An 18,547-nucleotide genomic window follows, 5' to 3' on the forward strand; every position below is an offset into this window, starting at 1 on the left:
CTCCTTTCTACCAGACAGCGTGCGTGTCTCCCCCCAGCTAGGGTGGAAATTCAAAGGAGCAGGGACACCCACCATCCCAGGCCTTCTACAGGGCCGGGCACAAAATCAGACTCAACAACAGCTGGTGGAATGAATAAAAGAACAGAGGGGGCTTGCACGCGCTTTGCCGCCACACTGGGAATTTTGCAAACACAGGCGCCTTTTGACCCAGCAAGTTGATGTCTAGGGTTTTCTCCTAAGGAGATCAGTAGACAGATGCCCACAGAAGTACAGTCAAGATAGTCCTTGCAGCGTTGCTTGTCATCATGACTACTGGCAGCAACCTAGGTGTCCATCAATAGGGGATTGGCTCAAAGCAGGTGTGACACAGCCAAAGGGTGGAATGTTACGCAGCCACTAAATAGATGGGTCTCTTATCATAAAGGGAGGGAAGCAGAGCCTAGTGCCCGATGTTCAATACGATTAATCCCTGGAGGGTAGGAGCTCTGGTTGTACTTAAACATGTCTAATTCATAACAAGAGGGAAATGGATTGGGAGGTGGGAACTGTCAGGGTCATCCAAGTCTGTACCTTGACTGGTGAAGAAAGTGAGGCCCAGGGAAGCAAGACCCTCTCCCTAGGTCACAGCACTGCCTAGAGGCACAGCCAGAGTTGGGGTCCAGATCTTCTTCCCACTACTTCTGCTCTCAGCAGGTTCTGGGGGTACAGCCAGCCGAGTGAAGGGTGCATCCTGAGCCTCCATGTAGACCCTCAAGTTGAGTCCTTTCTTTTGGAGCCTCAGTTTCCTCATCTGTAAAATGGGCCCATGTTCTCCCACGCTTCCTTTACTAAGCTGGGGAGATGATAAAATTTGTATGAGGAAGAGCAGTGCCCTTTACTGAGTGCTTAGGACACACCCAGACCTGCCCTAAGACTTTGATGCACATTACCCCATTTCATCTGCACAATAACTATCTGAAGTAAGGGCTTGAGTAGCCCCATTCTGCCAACGCGACTCACAAGAGTTGAGTAACTCACCGAGTGGCACCCAGCTAGTTGGTGGCAGAGCCTGGATATAAATCCAGATGGTCAATTTCAGCCCCATCCTGCTAACCACCACATTCTATCTGAAAAGAGACCACGTGTGCATATGTACAAATGGACACGCAGATCCCCTGGGGCCTTGGAGGACTAGGGAGACCTGGACCTGAATCCGTCCACTGGCTAGTGGTCCAAGGACCTGATTTCCCCCTTCTGCCTCCTCAACCCCCAGTCTGCCCTACCCACTGATTAGAGCCAGGGAGCCTGGTGCCTGCAGCTAGCCTGGGTAGGGCCAGTCTCCCTGTAATTAAGGCAGCGGGAGGTTGGGAGCTGGGATCCCTGTCATCCGAGGTTGGGGAGGAGGGGTGACGAGTGACTGAAGGAACCTCCCTGTAGCCAGGCCAACCACGTCAGCAGCCACTGGCTGCTCTGGGCAGCAGTGGGTGGCCAGGAGCAAGCCCGGTGGGTTCTTACCTCTCTGCCACCCCTGGCCTGGACCCTCCTGTTAGCCTCCTGCCTTCACTCCCTGTCTCCCTGTATCTCCCTTCTCTAAATGTCTCCTCCACCCCAGCACCAGAGCCATGTCTCCAAAAACCAGGTCACCAAGGCTTGGCTTCTAGTGTTCCAGCCATGCTGTGGGGATAGAGGATTTCTCCTGCTTTCAGAGCAGAGCGTTAAGAAGGCTGCGGGGAGCCGCTTGCAGGAGCTCCCAGGCAGCCATTGAGAAGGAGGTCATTTCCCTGGAACAAATGCCTGCTGGGGCTGTGTGTCACCCTCTGGAACACGCCCACACCCCCAGGCTGGCACTCCAGGCCCTTTCTTGATCTAGCCCAAACCTGCTTATCAGCCCTGACTTCCTCCCAGTCACCTGTCATTTCCATTGTGTGTTACCTTCTTGCCTCCACGCCTTTGCTTGTGCCATTCCCTCTAACTGGGACGCCCTCACTTTTCCCTGCTTGGCCCATCAAATTCTGCTCTTCTTTCTCTGCCCAGTTCAAACACCTCCTCCTCTCGGCAGCCTTCCCTGGTTGAGCCCAAATGAAGCTGTCTCCCATAAGCCCACGGTACTGCCCTGTGGCTTGGGTGGGCTTGTGGGAGAGGAAGATGCAGATTTTTTTTTTTTTTTTTTTTTTTTGAGATGGACTCTCGCTCTGTCGCCCAGGCTGGAGTGCAGTGGCACGATCTTGGCTCACTGCAACCTCCGCCTCCCGGATATAAGTGATTCTCCTGCCTCAGCCTCCCAAGTAGCTGGAATTACAGGCACGCATCGCCACACCAGGCTAATTTTTTGTATTTTTAGTAGAGATATGGGGGTTCACCATGTTGGCCAGGCTGGTCTCTAACTCCTGACCTCAGGTGATCCGCACGCCTCAGCCTCCCAAAGTGCTGGGATTACAGGTGTGAGCCACCACGCCCGCCTAGGAGATGCAGATTGAATGCAGATTGATTGAGATGCATCTTTGTCCTCCCCACCATCCCAGCACCAAGGCTGTGCACTCTCTGGGGTCCAGACCTGCCCTGGTGGTCACTCACAACTGTGGCCTTGGTCAAGTCACATCACCTCTCTAAACTGCATTGTCCCCGTCTGTAAAATAGGAGAACCAGAGTTTCTCCTGGAAGGGACCATAGTGAGGAATGTATGAGACAATGTGGGCAAATACTTGAAATGGTGCTCACCTCTGGTGCCTGCTTAATAAATAGCACCCAGGGTTCCTACAGCTGTGGCCGTGGAGCCTGCATCTCCCTCTCCCCTGGTGGCTTCCCCTCTTTTACAAGGTCACCAGGGAGGCCTTCCCAGAGGACAATCCGGATCATGTCATTCTCACAGACCCTCCTCCAGGCAGGCCTGGAGTCATCCCCAAAGGCTCTGTCCAACCCACTCCTGCCTCTCTCCCTGGCTCCCCCGTCCCATCTCTCACCAGCCTCGCATCATTTGCTCTACTCCAACCACCTGGAACTTATTCGGGGGGGCACTGAACGCCCCACGCACCCTTTCACCTCAGGGCTATTGCACAGGTCACTCCCTCCTTCTGTACCTGGCTAACTCCTTCTCGTCCTTTAGGCCCCAGCTTACGTGCCCATTCCTCCAGGAGGCCTTCCCCGACCACCTCTTCCATCCAGGTGAGGCGCCCCTTCTCTGTTCCTGCAGCTCTTGCACCACACACTGCGCTGCAATGACCTGCTTTCCTGTGAGCTCCAAGAAGCCAGGCACTGTGCCTCGCTCCCTGCTGCAAACTCAGCACCGGGCACGGTGTCTGGTGCAGACTAGATGCTCAAAAAACATTTAGTGACTAACTGAATGGATGGATGAGTCAATTTCTGCATCCCCCACACTGCGGGAAATGTCTGTAGAACAGATTTGAGTGGGAGGTTCCAGCAGGGCCTGGGAGAAGCCCTTGGGGTTTGGGCACTGGGGGTAAACAGAGCAGACCCCCCAACCCCTCCCCTGGGGGGCTGGGCTCCCCGCTTCCTGCAAACCCCCTGGGCCCCAGAGCCGGCTTCCAGATGCTAAGCCCGTCTCAGCCTCACCTCTTAGCTTTTCCATCTGCACAGCCGGGCCAGATCCCCGCAGCCAGCATCACGGGCAGCCAGGCCAACCGTCCCGGCGTCTTCCTATTTTAGACATCTCGCTGCCTCAGTCCCTTCTAATGTTTCCAGCCAGGCTGCGGGGGGAGGAAAAAGAGGTTACTGCTACTTTAAATGTACTGTATGAAGGCGAGGGCTGGAAAGGGGCCTGCTTGCAGGAATACCCAGTCATCTAGTTGGAAAAGCCGCCAGATGGAATACAAAAGGAGGAACCCAGACGCTCATGGAGACAGCCTCGGTTCATAAATCAGGTGGGGCCAGGGGCTGGGGGCCCACACGCCATGGAGCCCGACTCCCTTCTGGACCAAGACGACTCCTACGGTAAGACGGTGCCAGCAAAGTGCAGAGTTGGGGGTTTCAGCCTCTCTGCTCAACAGACTTTTCTCTGCTATAGGAATCTGAGTTGAAGCAGGGAGGCAGTCAGGCATCTGGGCACTGTCTGGTCTTGGGACCCATGGGTGGGCATGGGTGCGTTGGGCTATGAGACTCAGGGCTGGAGGGTCCCTGGAGCGGGCAGCCCCTCAGACTCCAGGCATTGACAAGGTCCAGGGGAGGGAGAGAGAGTTTCTCAGCTGCTTCTGTTTTGCTCCTGGCCAAGAAGGAAAGGAAGGAAGTTTTGCAGCCCCCCTGCCTGTCTGCCTACCTCGCTGTTCGCCAGGCCTGCCCTGTGCTGTGGGGAATTCAATTAGTGCGATCCTGCGGATAAATATAGATGGAAGAGGCAACAGGAACATACCTTGTAATTAAAGGCCAGGGCTCATGCTGAAAGCACTCCCCGTGTGACAGGGCCCCAGTGGCTGCCACCGGAGAGCTGCCCAGGCCACTGGAAGCTCTGCATGCATTATTGGGGGAAAAGTTGCTCGGGACAGAGCCCATGCAGAGTCTGGAAGAGGGATTTATAAGACTCGGAAGGGTTCCTTCGTGGTGGTTTCTGCAGGCCTGGGGCTCCAGCGACGCAGTAACTCAGCTCCTGCACTACTCAGCCTGGCCAGAGAGCTCACATTTGGCTGGGATGCCCGGCACAGCCTGGCTGTCTCTGGACAACCAAGGAGGGACGCAAGAGTGCAAGAGTGTGGCCGAGGCACCGAGGCTGGGCATGGGGGGGTGGGGCAGCAGGTTTTGGGACTCAGCAGGGAGAAGTCCTGTTGGCCTCGGAAGAGGTGGTAATTGCAGGGCGACCTCATCCCAGCTTGGGTCAGGTCAGCCTTCCAGGGGTTCAGGTCCTCCTGAGACCACAGTTCTACTAAGAAAACCAAGTGCTTGTTTCTCCGGACTTTCCCCCACCCCATCCAGGCCTGGCTGCCTGGCACAGATTCAAGGCCAAATTTCCTTCCTCCTGCAGGAGCTCAGCCCTTTCCAAGGAGAGGGGCCCTTTGCCACGTTTGGAGCTGCAGCCCTCAGGGAAGCTTGGCAAGGCCCAGCCCACAGACCTGGCATCTTTGGGCCCAGGGGACGGGGGGTCAGTTGATGCATGCAGAGTGACCTCCATGTGCCAAGCCCTGTGTCAGGGTCAGGGATGTGTAGGAATGAGGAACTCAGTCCTAACAAATAGTTGGTGCTTAGTGAATGGAAGGAGGAGGAGAATACAAAGGGAGGAGAGAGGGAAAAAAATAGGGAGAGCAGCCCTTGGCCTGGAAGAGCTCCCAGTCTGGAATGGGAGACAGACAAACGATCCCAGACTAAATTCAGAGTGATGCGGTCCTTGGGGAGGCCAGGGGCAGACAGCCTGAGGGTGTGGGACAGGCCTGCCTGCCTCCAGAGCTGTTCACTGGAAGCTTGGCATTGGGATGCGTATGGACTCATTGGATGTCTGGATGCTCCCCTAGGGAGGGCACTGACCTTTGAAGAGGCAGGCGAGGGGGTGGGAAGGACCAGCCCCAGCCAGGGATATCTCAGGAACCCACAGTCCCCACTTGCTGTCCTCCAGATTTGCTAGTAGCAGCCTCTGGGCTGGGCAAGGCTGGAAACTGAGGCTGCCTCCACCCTCATGGAAAGGCCCCATGCACAATCAGCTCCTTGTCCTGGCCTGTCACGAGGCCGGTTGCTGATCTCCTGGAAGCTGGCCAGGCAGGGAGGTAAGGGATTCAAGAGGAAGAGGAAAGGGACAGAGGGGGCCTTAGGAAAGGGACAGGCAGGCATGGAGTGGAGCCCAGGCTCTCTCTGGGAGCAATCCCAGGCCCAGCTGGAGAGGGGTCTGGCTTTTCCAGCCAAGGTCTCCCACCCAGCCAGCCTCAGGGGTCCAGGGCTGAAGGAGGCCATCCTGGGTCAGGGCAGCACAGGAAAACTGCGGTCTCAGTGAGTCACTTCCCCAGTCTGAGCCCCGGTTCTACATTCATCAATTTAACAATTACTTTCAGGTTCTGGACTGGGCTTTGGTGTTCAAGAACAAATCAAACTTTGTGACTTTCCTAGGCTAATCTGAGAGAGATGCAGGTGCACTGATGGGGGAAGTCAAGGCGTGTGGAAGCCCTAACCCTATACTTGGAATCCAGAAAGGCTTCCTGGCAGAGGTGACTCCTCCACTGAAGAAGTCAATGATTCCCTCTATATTGATCAGCTCAGGCTGCTGTAACGAAATAGACAAGGTGACTCACACAACAAAGATTTCAGAAACAGAAATTAAAACAGAAGGCTGGGCGCAGTGGCTCATGCCTGAAATCCCAGCACTTTGGGAGGCTGAGGCAGGTGGATCACTTGAAGTCAGGAGTTTGAGGCCAGCCTGGCCAACATGGTGAAACCCCATCTCTACTAAAAACACAAAAAATTAGCCAGGCATGGTGGTGCATGCCTTTAATCCCAGCTACTTGGGAGGCTGAGGCATAAGAACCACTTGAACTCGGGAGGCAAAAGCTACAGTGAGCCAAGATCACGCTGCTGCACTCCAGCCTGGGCGACAGAGAGCGAGATGCCATCTCAGAAGTAATAATAACATTTTGCAGTGATGTGATCAAAGGTCACTGCAGCCTTGAACTCCTAGGCTCAAGGGATCCTTCTGTCTTAGCCTCCTGAATAGCTGTGACTACAAACATACACCACCACACCTCACTAATTAAAATTTTTGTGTGTGTGTGGAGATGGGGTCTTGCTGTGTTGCCCAGGCTGGTCTAGAACTCTCGGGCTCAAGCAATTCCAATGCCTCAGGGTCCCAAGTGTTGGGATTCTAGGCGTGAGCCACAGCAGTCAGCCCTTTTCTCTTTCTCTTTTTTTTTTTTTTTTTTTTTTGAGATGGGGTCTTACTCTGTCATCCAGGCTGGAGTGCAGTGGTGCGATCTCAGCTCAATTGCAACCTCCACTTCCCAGGCTCAATCCATCCTCCCACCTCAGCCTCCCGAGTAGCTGGGACCACAGGTGCACAACACCATGCCCAGCTAATTTTTTGTATTTTTGGTAGAGACAGGTTTTCGCCATGTTGCCCAGGCTGGTCTCGAACTCCTGAGCTCAAGTGATCCACCTGCCTCAGCCTCCCAAAGTGCTGTGATCCTTTTGTCTCTTCTTATAAGGACACTAATCCTACTAGGGCCCCATCCTTATGACCTCATTTAACCTTAATTACTCCTTAGAGGCCCCATTTCCAGACAGAGCCACGCTGGGAGTTCAACATATGACTTGAGGATGGGAGGGATACACATGTTCAGTCCACAACACCCTCCTTTTTTATTGAGACAGGGTCTCACTCTGTCACCCAGGCTAGAGTGCAATGGCATGATCACAGCTTACTGCAGCTTCGAACTCCTGGGTGTAAGCAATCCTCCTGCTTCAGCCTTCAGAATAGCTGGACTACAGGCATGCACCACCATGCCTGGCTAATTTTTGTATTTTTTGTAGAGACAGGGTTTGCCCACGTTGCCCAGGCTGGTCTCAAACTCCTGGGCTCTCTCAATCTGCCCGCCTCGGCTTCCCAAAGTGCTGGGATTACAGGCATGAGCCACAGTGCCGGCCTGGCTTCTGGGACAGGCTGCTCTCGGGGTTTCCTCCCATTATCTCTGGCTGGCCCCTTCTCCTGGGGCTCTCTCTCCTGCTGCTGCCCACAGGGTCCCTTCGCCAGTGCCTGCCTCCTCTGCTCCTTCATGATTGAACTCTTCCTCCTTCACCCCTCACTCCCTCGCTTCCCGCCATCAGATCTGACCTTCCTCACGCCCCCAAGCTGTCTCCCCCCAGGGCCTTTGAGCATCCTTCCTCTTTCTCTTCCCTGAGCTAATTCCTCCTCCTCTTCCCAGTATCAACTGAAAAGTCACCTCCTCAGAGAAGCCCTCCTTAAACCATGTTCCCCCAATGCATCACTCTCATAGGCCCTCTTTTCCTTTATGGACGTGTTCATATGTGCACTACACATTATTGCATGCTGATGTGTTTCACCTGCATCTCCCGTGAGTCTCTAAGCAATCTGGATCCCCAGAGCATAGTTCTCCACCTGGCAGGAGTAAGCATCCAACAAATGCTTGTTGAATGAGTGAGTGAACAAATGCAGTTGGTGCAGGCAAAAAGGCAAGGAAAGGCATTCCAGGGCAGAAGAAACAGCAGGTGCAAAGGCATGGAGACTGGTGATGCTTTGGAGCATTCTCTGATACTTACAATCTTGGTCAGGGGTTGGCAAGCTGAGCTCCTTTAGGGGGCTCAGGAACATTGATGGGGATGGGGAAGGGTTGGGAGCTGCAAAGCTGGGGGTGAGGCTCTGGACATCTCTCCCTGCTTCAAGCTGAGCAAAGCGCCTTTCGTCTAGTGAAGACCCCAGTTCTGATTGCATCCATCAGGTGTTCAGAGGCTGAAAGGGTTCAGCCATGGCATGGTGGGGGATCCGCAGCCACTGGCACTGAAGTTCTGGAGGCCTAAGCCTCTTAGCAGGCAGGACTGAGCAGAGCCCTATTGGGTGGTCTGGCGGTGGGAGCCCCTTAGAGCATGGCCAAGAAGGGCTCAGACACAGCTGCAGCGAGGAGCAGACATAGGTGCAGAGGTTTCTTTTACAGGACAGTCAGAGGCAGGAAGGTGAGGAGAAGGGGAGAGCTCGGAAACTCGGCACTAACCCCTGCAGAGCCCTTGTGATTGGCCTTAGTTTCCCTAGGTGTAAATTGGGGTGACGGCCAGACAAGATGTGACTGTCCCCTCTGGTGCCAGCCCCTTGGAGCTGTGTGAAAAGTCCAGCTCAGAGAAGCATGTCCTTTCCGTCTGCCTTGTGATTTCCAAAGAAGGGGGCAAGACAGAGGCCTGGCAGCGGCCAGCATAAGAGAAAAAGTCCTGCCCTGCAAAATATGCTTTCTCCGGGTTCTTTTGGAGTCCTGCTATTTCTCCACTTCGTGGGTACCGTCCTCCTACCAGGACAGCTCCTGGTGCTTCCTCCGCCTGGGTGTGTTTTCATTGTCTGCTCACCAGCCTGACTCCCACATGAGACTATAAGGCCCTTGAGGGCAGGGGCTGTATCTTGTCTGCCACTGGGTTCCCAGGGTGCTGCACAGCACTGGTCCTGAGAAGGCACTCAATACATACTCAGTGGATGAATGAATGAATGAATGAATGAATGAATAAGTGAGCGAGAGTGAGTGAATTAATGAGTGGCATGAGCTGGATCCTGCCCTTAACTTGCTCCGCATCCTTAGGCATCCTCCCCGACTCTGGACTTCTGGTTCCTTAGCTGTCAGCTGAGGGTGCTGGGCCCCATGCCCCAAGAGAGCAGGCCTGCATCTCATCCCAGCTCTCTCGGTTATTGGGTGGCCTGGACCAAGTCCCTGCCCTGACTTAGCCTCAGCTTCCTCATCTGACAAATGGGCAGACTCAGCCCTGCCCTGCCTGTTTTTCAGGCGGTCTTGGAGCTCTGGAGGAGTAAGGAGGCAAAACAGTGTGAGGCTGGACACCTGTCAGGGGAGTCTGTGACTCGTACAGGAGCGGGGGTTGGGCTCAGACAGCCCGCTGGGATAAACCCTCCAGAAGCGGGTGGTTGCTTTCGATATCATGGAGGTGGAGCAGGCAGCTCAAAAGCTCAGAACTTTCCATTTCTTCCTGATGACAACCAGCATGGGCATCTACCTCAGGGTTGTTGGCAGATCCCAGCAGAGAAGCAGGTGGATGTGAGTTTGTAAACTTCCCAATGCTACTGCTGTAATAACTGTTTGGTAAGCACCTACTCCATGCCAGGATCCAAAGACACTTTATCTACACTGTCTTCTGTTTTGGTTTGTTTGTTTGTTTGTTTTTGAGATGGAGTTTCGCTCTTGTTGCCCAGGCTGGAGTGCAATGGCGCAATCTCGGCTCACTCCAACCTCTGCCTCCTGGGTTTAAGCGATTCTCCTGCCTCAACCTCCCAAGTAGCTGGGATTACAGGCATGCGTCACCAAGCCTGGCTAATTTTGAATTTTTTGGTAGAGGCGGGGTTTCGCCATGTTGGTCAAGCTGGTCTCGAACTTCTGACCTCAGGTGATCCACCCGCCTTGGCCTCCCAAACTGCTAGGATTACAGGCGTGAGCCACCGTGCCCAGCATTTTTTTGTTTTGTTTTTTGTTTTTTGAGATAGAGTCTCACTCTGTCGCCCAGTTTAGAGTGCAGTAGCATGATCTTGGCTCACTGCAACCTCCACCTCCTGGGTTCAAGCAATTCTCCTGCCTCAGCCTCCTGAGTAGCTGGGACTACAGGCGCGCAACACCAGGCCCGGCTAATTTTTCTGTTTTTGTAGAGATGGGGTTTTGCCATGTGAGCAGGCTGGTCTTGAACTCCTGACCTCAGGTAATCTGCCCACCTTGGCCTCCCAAAATGCTGGGATTAGAGGTGTGAGCCACTGCATCTGGCCTACATTGTCTTCTGAATCCTTGCAATACACCTGGTGGGTTGCAGTTAGCCTTATTTTCCAGATGAGAAAATTGAGGCCCAAGGAGGTTACGTGACTGGCCCTGATCACGCAGTGAGTGCACTGATTTGAACCCAGCTTTCTCCAGCTACAAAGCCTGATATCTTTATTTTGCTGCAGTCCTGAAAGCCATTGTGTGCCAAAGCTGCCACCTGGAGGCCCCTCCCTGTGCCTGTGGAAAATCCTCTCTCCCGGGGAGCGTTCACTGAAGCAGCTCAGAGATGTGGCAGGAGCCATGTCAGCTCAGCTGGCCAAGGCGAGAGGCAGACTCAGCTGTGGGACAGGGATGGTCTAAAGAGAAGACAATTTGAGGCCAAAATAGCCTAATGTCATCAGGGGGCCTGATATCATGACTCCCTGGGCCTTCCTTTGAGAGGCAGAGGGATTAGCTTCAACTGGTGACAGATAGATAATAATTGTAAAAAATAACAGCTATGTGTCCAGCCACTGGCCTCCCATCCATCGTCTCGCTTCCCCTGCTTAGGCCTGCCCTCCCTCTGAGGCCTCCTCCTGGCTCTGCCACTCAGCTCACTCAGCAGGTGCCAGCCAAAGACCTGGGCTCTCATCGAGCCTCCATTTCCCCATCTGTGAAACTGACACCAGCCTAGCCTGCCTGGAATGGGGAAGGGACGCCAGAATCTAGATCCCTTCCATCTTGTTCGAGGGCTCTGTCCTAGACCAGGCTGCCTGGGCCTCAGAAAAATGAAGGAAGAGAAGCCACATTCATACCTGGAGCCCTTCTATAAGTGAAAAAATTAGGCCAAGGATGCAGAGCTGGGGTCCTATTTATGAGCATTTACTGTGTGCCTGGCTCACTGCTAAATGTTCTCCACTGACTCCTCACAGAGGAAGGAACAACCCCACAGCTCAGAGGAGAAAATCAAGGCTTAGAAGGGCCCTGCCACACAGCGAGTGAGGAACACTTGTGATTCAAACCCAGGACTCCCAAGATCCTGTGAGCTTTCTCCACTTTGGGCTGCTCCCACCACCCCACTGGGTCTCCTGGCCCCCAATCCAGGGCCCTTTCCCATGCCCAGGGGGGCCTCGGTTCTGCTGGCCAGCCATGCGGGGGGCTTCTGAACTTGCCCAGCTGGGCAGCTGGATGAGTGGTAGAGCCACACGCCCCCTCCCCTTGCCCTGAGACTCTGGGAAGAGGCGCAATCAGGAGGAACAGACAATAAAGAACAAAGAGGCCAGCTCGGGAGGGGCTTAGGTCATTTCCACACACAAGCCTGAGCAGCTGGCCTCATAACAAGGTCAGGGGCTGAGGCTGCAGTGGGGGTTGGCTGGTGAGGAGGGAGCCCCTGTGCCTGGAGCAGGGCGGGGAAGAGCCAGGATAAAGCTCAAGAGAGAAGAGTTGGTTTCCCCAGAGAGAGGGACAGGGAAAGGGAGGGAGCACCTATGTGCATAGGACGCGGACATTTCACTTCCCATAGGCTCCTGGAGAGCCCCTCCTGAACTGTACTTAACACCCCCAGGCCTGGGCTTCTATCTGCTGCGCCTCCGTGTGACCTGTGAGCCAGGCCAGTTGATTCTCAGAGCCTCGGAGGGATGGGGACAGCAGCAGCCACCGCGCAGGGCTCCTCTCTTGTGAGGACCAAGCAGGATAGATCCTTCCTTCTTCTGTGGTCCTGGACAGCCACTGCCTCAGGCTGGCTCCTCCGCCACGGGACCTGGTGCAGAGTCAAAGATCTTTAAGTCAATCTGTAGCATGATCCGGGTCCCCTAAGCTTTCCTACCACCGAATGTGTTTCTTGGTATATTGTTCAATTCCCGTTTTACAGAGGAAGAAACTGACACACTCGCTTGAGTATCGGTCCTTCAAGTAATGTGGCCTGACTCATGCTCAGGTTGCTGGATGGCTGCCACAGCCCTCCTTATTCCAAAGAGGCAGGTGGACCCCACACATCAGGCCCAGTGTGTCCCCAGCTTCCCCTCACTGGCCTCCCTGGGCTGACTGCAGGATATCCAGAGTCTAGCCTTCTGCTCCCACTGCCCCGTCTGTTCCTTCTGCTGGGTGGATACGCCCTGGGCTGCTTAGCCCACCCTGGGCCTTCCAAAGCCAGAGCTGTGGTCCTCCCAGCTGGGATTCCTCCCAAGGTCTCAACTCTGGAAGCCCAGGGAGGCTGGAACAAATAGCAAATGGCCAAGGTGTAGGGAGACCCAAGGGGAAGGGTCTCTTGAGGTCCTCCTGTCCATTCTCTGTTACATCATGGGAAGATGGAGGTCAGAGAAGATGAAACCAGGCCCACTTACGGTCCATGCTACCTCCTAAGAGGTCCAGAGATCCACCCCGACTCTCCGTCTCCAGCCCCCACTTCAGGCCAGGCCTCACCTTGGACACCTGCACAGCTGCCTTGCCTCTTCCTGGGGCTGTCCATCTCTACCTGCCCCCCAACTCATCCTTCGTGCACAGCCAGAAGGGGCCACTCATAGGCATTCAAAAAACTTCACAGGGCCCACCGCTGCAGCAGGATAAAATCCAAACTCATTAACAGAGCTTAATGCCGTTCATGGTCTGACCCTGCAGATACACTTCTGCTCTCATCTCCAAGCCACACCCCACTTTCTTGCCACTCCCATCATCATGAATTAATTTCTGCCTTGAATCTGCCTCTCTCTCTCCCTTACCTTTGCACTTGCTCTTACCGCTGCCTGAAACACTCTTTCATCTTAGCCTTCCCTACTACCCCTCCAGCCCGGTCAATCCTGCCCATCCTGAAGTCTCAGCTCAGGTCACCTCCTCCAGGAAGCCTTCCCTGACTAGCTTGTTTGGGCTGCCTAGGCTCCCTGGGCTTTCTGCTATCCCACTGCACTTTGATGAGTAAAGTCCATTTGCTTTACTGTTTGTCCCCATCTCTGGGCTGTGAGCTGCTTGGTGAGCCACAGTGAAAACTTGGAGGGGAGGCTGGGTGGGTAAAGAAAGAAGTCAGGATAACCCTGATCTCTGGCCTGTGTGGCAGGAGATGTTGGTGTCCACACTGACATGGGGACCTGGGTGGAAGGGCAGATTCTGGGGGGGGAGGGGAAACGATGTTCTGGGCTTGCTGTGTCTGAAGGGCCTGCAGGGCCATCCAGTGGCTATCTCTAGAGAAGTTGGTGACGGTCACCTTTGAGAGAGGCCTGGATTCCAGAAGGGAGGGAGGGGAGCTGCTGGGGCCTTCCCAGCGTGTGTCAGAACCACTCCCTTTCCCAGGCTTGCAGAAGCCCTCACTCAACTGCCCAACCAGGGTCCTGTCACCTCCCCCAGGAAGCCAGCCTGGCCCTGACAAAGCAGTGCTCTGTTCTCCCCCTTGACCATTACTCGCCTCTGGTCTGAGGACATCTCTCGGGCTCTGCCTTAGAACTCTTCAAGGTGGGAGCCACATCCCTCCATGTCTTGTAGACTCCGCATCGCCCAGCACAGGGACAGACACAGAGAAGAAGCTGCATGGACAAGGAGCCCTGCCCCTTCCCCTGGACACAGCCCCAGCCAGTGGGATTCTGGGGAAAAGAAAACACAAGCCTGAGGAGCTTTGGGTCAGATTGTCTCGGGAGAGTGGGGGAAGAGGCGGGTGGAGTGGGGGTGGATTTCTGTCCAATCTGGAAGCCTGTGCTGGATGGCCGGATCGCCAGCACCCCAGGCTCGAAGCGTTCCAGCCGGTGACCTACATTCCCAGGGCGCCTCTGTGTGTGCGCACACGGGCAGGCGTGCGTGAGTGCAGGAGCTCCACGGTGTGTCTGCCAGTGGGCCTCTGTCTCGGCAGGCTGTCTCCTCAGGAGCCCGTGAGTGAGCACGTGAGGGCGTGGGGGGCCCACACTCCTGCTCTGGGGTTCCACAGACTGCACCAGAAAGAGTTGGTCTGTGCCCTAGAAAAGCCACAGCCAGGGACTGCAGGGACTGACATGGCTGGGGGTGGCTGTCCCACCCGCAGCCCTGCCCAAGACCCTCTCTCTCTCCTCCCATGCTCTCTCTGTGACAAATGGCCTCACACTGCTCTTTGCTAATGGTGGGGTGTTAGGCATGGAAAATGGAGGGCACAGCTCTTAGGTGGCGGTGGAGGGCGGGGACCTCAAACAACAGCCCGAGGCAGCCAGATGGCAACCAGAGGTCAGTAGGGTGGGTGGCTCAGCAGAGGGAGCAGGCACCAGGCTCTAGGCCCTGCAGCCTGAGGTCAGGGCGTCACTCAGGGGTCCTTGGGGGCTGTCCCGGGTCAGGATCCTCCTGCCTCCAGGCGGGGGTAGAGGTGGAGATCTCTCCCTCCTGGGAAGGCCTGTGCTTGACTGAGAAGCTAAGCTGACTCTATGGCCCTGAAGCCAGGGCACCAGGGAATCTGGGGGGTGGGTGCCCTGCTCAGAGACCCTTTAGTCTCTCCTTTGCCAGTTCTGTGGCGGGTGGGGTAGGGGTGGCTGTCCCCCAAACCCTTCTGAGCCTCTTCTTTCAGACTTGGTCCCTGACAGCAGGGAGGGGATGGGTAGTCCTTTCAGAGACTCTCTCTGGGTCTATCTCTGTCTCTTTCTGTCTCTCTATCTCTGTTCCTATCTCTCTCAGTCCTTCTGTCTCAGTCATCTCTATATATCTCTCTGTATCTCTGCCTCTCTCTCTCTCTTTCTCCCTCCTGCTGGGCTCCCCCTGCTCCCCTCTTCCCTCCTCTCCCCCTAGTGACTCCTGCAAAGCTCCCCTTCCCCAGCAGAATGGGGAACACAGACTTGGCTGAGGGCCTACCGTGCCCGGCAGCAAGAGAAAAGTGAGGCTCGAGCCCCCGACAGCTTCTCCGTGGCCCTTCCAAGCCCCGGGGGATTTTTGCTTCAGTTCTCCTCTCCCTCCGTCAATTCCCCAGCTGAGGCCAACCTTGGTCCCTGGGCTCTGCACCTCCTGCCCACCCTCCTGCCTGTATGAGGACCCCCCCATCGACCTCCCTTGCTGGCCCTTTCTCCGGCCCTGCAACGGGCCCAAGTCTCTCCCATCCCATCCTCACTGCCTCATCCTCTCCGGCCTATGTCTTTTTTTTTTTTTTTTTTTTTTTTTTTTTTTTTTTTGAGACGAAGTCTTGCTCTGTCACCCAGGCTGGAGTGCAGAGGCACGATCTTGGCTCACTGCAACCTCCACCTCCCAGGTTCAAGCTATTCTCCTGCCTCAGCCTCCCGAGTAGCTGGGATTCCCAGCCCATGTCCTTCTGATCTCTGCTTCCCCACTGGCATTGTGCAACTCAACACCACTCCCTGCCCCAAAGCTGCTCTGAACGGGCCCACCAGTGGAATACCAACTGCAGAATCCAGGGCTTTCTCTTGGGGCACCATCTTACCAGTCCTCTCGGGTGAGGCTCTGGTTGGGGGTAGGTCAGGGCAGGGTCCCTGGAGCCCCGCACCATCAGATCTCTGCCCCTTACCAGGGGAAATGATGTAACTTCTCTGAATCTCAGTTTTCCCACCTGTGAGATGGGATGGTTACCCTGGTACTCCTGTCACAGGTTATTGAGAGGAGTAACACTGTTCATGCTTATTTAAAAAATTCTGAGAACTGATCTAGCAGAGAATGAGGCCTCAGTTGATCTTGGCTGTAGTTATAATCATTTGTGTTTGCCATTGCTTGAATCTCTCTCCTACCCCCCCACCCTGAGGACCCCACAGTCTCCTCTCCTGGGTTTCCTCTCGCCTGTCTCTTCATCCCCTCTCGGTCTTTCCTGTAGGCTCCCAGCTAAGCCACCAGGTGACCAGGCCAGGCCCTCTGCAGTCCCCACCATCCCTCCTCACATCTGTGTGTCCTCACACCCCTGCCCACTGCAGGACCAAGTCCACCTCTGCCACCCACACCTTTGCCAGCCCCTACCTGGACCTTCTGCCTTGCCGGTACCACCCAGACCAGGGGACCTCCCTAACATAGGCTCAATACCCTCCTCCTCTGTGCACCTGACCGGTTCTGCTCAGGGCTCTGGGGGCAGCCCTGTCACACCTTATGGCCTTGTCCATCGATCTGTCAGTCCACATGCCTGTCTCTGCCACACACCTTGGAGCTTCATCTCTGTGGCCCTGGCACTTTCTGCTGCATATTTGTTGAATGAATAATGAATGAACGAATGACTTGATGCAAATCAAAGTACTTTGCAAGCTATAAAGCGCTCCTCCAATCAATGCCACACACAGTGGGGTATTAAGGAGCACTCAAAGCCTCCTGCAGGACTTGGCCTCACCTTGCCCACTGCACCTGGGTCGGGGGAAGGAAACCTCAATCTTCCAGAAAGTTCTAATCCTTCATCTGCCTCAGGATCATTCTGGGTAGGAACGATGCCCAGCCTCGCCCTAGAGATTTGGATTCAGTTTAGTCTAAAGGAGGCCTGGGCAATGGAATGTATAAACCCCTCCTCCTTTTTTCCCTCCTCCCCTGCCCCACCAGGTGACTCTAAGGGGCAGCTGCTGGAATTGGAGGAGGATTGTTGGAGCCCTGGTCTTTGCTCCCTGCCCAGGTTCACTTCTTTTAATTTGTGCCTTCTCTGTGCTAGCTCCATGCTGGGTGCTAGAGGGGAAGCACGCACCCAGGGAAGCATGAGGCTGGGTCTCTGCTTTAGGGAAGAGCTTAGAACAGGCACTCAAGGCTACAGTGACATCCCAGGGTGGAGAGACCTCTAGGGGTAGGTGGGAAGGAGAAGATGCTGACCTTAAAGATAACCAGAGACCTAAGGCCAGGTACAGTGGCTCGTGCCTGCTATTCTAGCACTTTTGAGAGGCCAAAGGAGGAGGATCGCTTGAGATTAGGAGACCAGCCTGGGCAACACAGGGAGAGCCCATCTCTAAAAACAAAGCCAAACAAAATACGGAGGTTGGCCTGGTGGATGGAGGTAGTGAACAGGCAGAGGGAACCACAGGGGAAAGGCCTGGAGTTGAGAACTACAGAGTAGCCCATCTAAGAACTTTTTTTTTTTTTCTGAGATGGAGTCTCGCTCTGTTGCCCAGGCTGGAGTCCAGTGGCGCAATCTCAGCTCACTGCAAGCTCCGCCTCTCAGGTTCACGCCATTCTCCTGCCTCAGCCTCCTGAGTAGCTGGGACTACAGGCGCCAACCACCACGCCCAGCTAATTTTTTTGTATTTTTAGTAGAGACGGGGTTTCACCGTGTTAGCCAGGATGGTCTCAATCTCCTGACCTCGTGATCCACCCACCTTGGCCTCCCCAAGTGCTGGGATTACAGGCGTGAGCCACCGCGCCTGGCCGCCCATCTAAGAACTTTGAGTGATTCAGTGAGGCTGTACCCCAAAATCCAGGTGCGCAGGCCTGGAGAGGTCAGCTGGGCTGGGGTAGCGGCCTCAAATGCCGGGATCAGGAGATTGGGCTTTACCTTGCACTGGGAGGAGCCATGAATAGTTTCAGGCAGGGGAGGAACAGGGTTGTGCTGGGTCTTCCTGGAATTGCTAAGACCCAAACCACCCCTGAGGCAGCTCAGGTGAGGCTGGGTGGCTGCCCACCTCTGGGAGCTCACAATCCCAGCAGGAGAAGCCTAGCCCAAGGAGGGAGGCCAAGAAGACCCAGAGCCAAGGGGGTAGTGGGGTTCCTGGACTGGCTACCTTCGCCAGACCTGCTCAGCCTCCAGTTCCCTGTTTAGTGGCATTAAAGGTTTCCGTCCCCCAATGTCCTTGGCAGCCCAGTGCATGCTCAACTTGTGGGGGAGCAGGAGGAGGGCAGCTCTGACTATCTTCCTTGCACCTTGCATCTTCAGGAGGGGAGCTAGTCAGACTCTTAGGGAACAAGAGAAAGAGAAGGGAAGGTGCATGAGCATTTTGTGCCAGAGCTCATAGAACTCTGGCTGGAAAACGTAGCCCCATTTTACAGGGGAGGAAACTGAGGCACACAGAGATTTGTGATTTGTCCCTGGTTGTACTACCAGGAAGTGACAGAGTCAGGATTTGAACTCTGGTCCTGCTGGCTTCAAAGCCTGCGTGCTTCCCACTGTGTGCATCCCTGCTCTGAGTCTGCACTGAGCAGCCCACGTGCCTAGTCCTGCTCCAGGGAGAGGCAGGAGAGGCTGTGTGAGAGCTACAAGGAGGCTGGGGTCTCTGCTCACCTCAGCAGTCCCAGTAAAGTAGGCAGGAACCATGGGAGAGATTCGAGCAGAGGAGGGACAGGTCCAAAGCTGCAGC

The 18,547-nt window shown here is 55.1% G+C and overlaps 1 protein-coding gene and 1 long non-coding RNA gene across 2 annotated transcripts in view; one reads left to right on the forward strand and one right to left on the reverse strand.

The window, feature by feature from the left end:
• The window catches only part of LOC107987016 (uncharacterized), a 38,337-nt gene extending 34,654 nt beyond the window's left edge, over positions 1 to 3,683 (reverse strand). Inside the window, exon 1 of the long non-coding RNA XR_001746560.2 lies at positions 3,550 to 3,683. This is a non-coding gene — a long non-coding RNA (uncharacterized LOC107987016). The remainder of the gene's footprint in view (positions 1 to 3,549) is intronic.
• Positions 3,684 to 3,772: 89 nt separating this feature from the next.
• Positions 3,773 to 18,547, forward strand: part of DAB2IP (DAB2 interacting protein) — a 218,457-nt gene continuing 203,682 nt past the window's right edge. Inside the window, exon 1 of the mRNA NM_032552.4 lies at positions 3,773 to 3,927. Within this exon, the coding sequence (NP_115941.2) occupies positions 3,888 to 3,927 (40 nt within the window). The 5' untranslated portion in view covers positions 3,773 to 3,887. The remainder of the gene's footprint in view (positions 3,928 to 18,547) is intronic.

The sequence above is a fragment of the Homo sapiens genome, chromosome 9 (assembly GCF_000001405.40).
Source record: "Homo sapiens chromosome 9, GRCh38.p14 Primary Assembly".
Classification (NCBI taxonomy): Eukaryota; Metazoa; Chordata; class Mammalia; order Primates; family Hominidae; genus Homo; species Homo sapiens.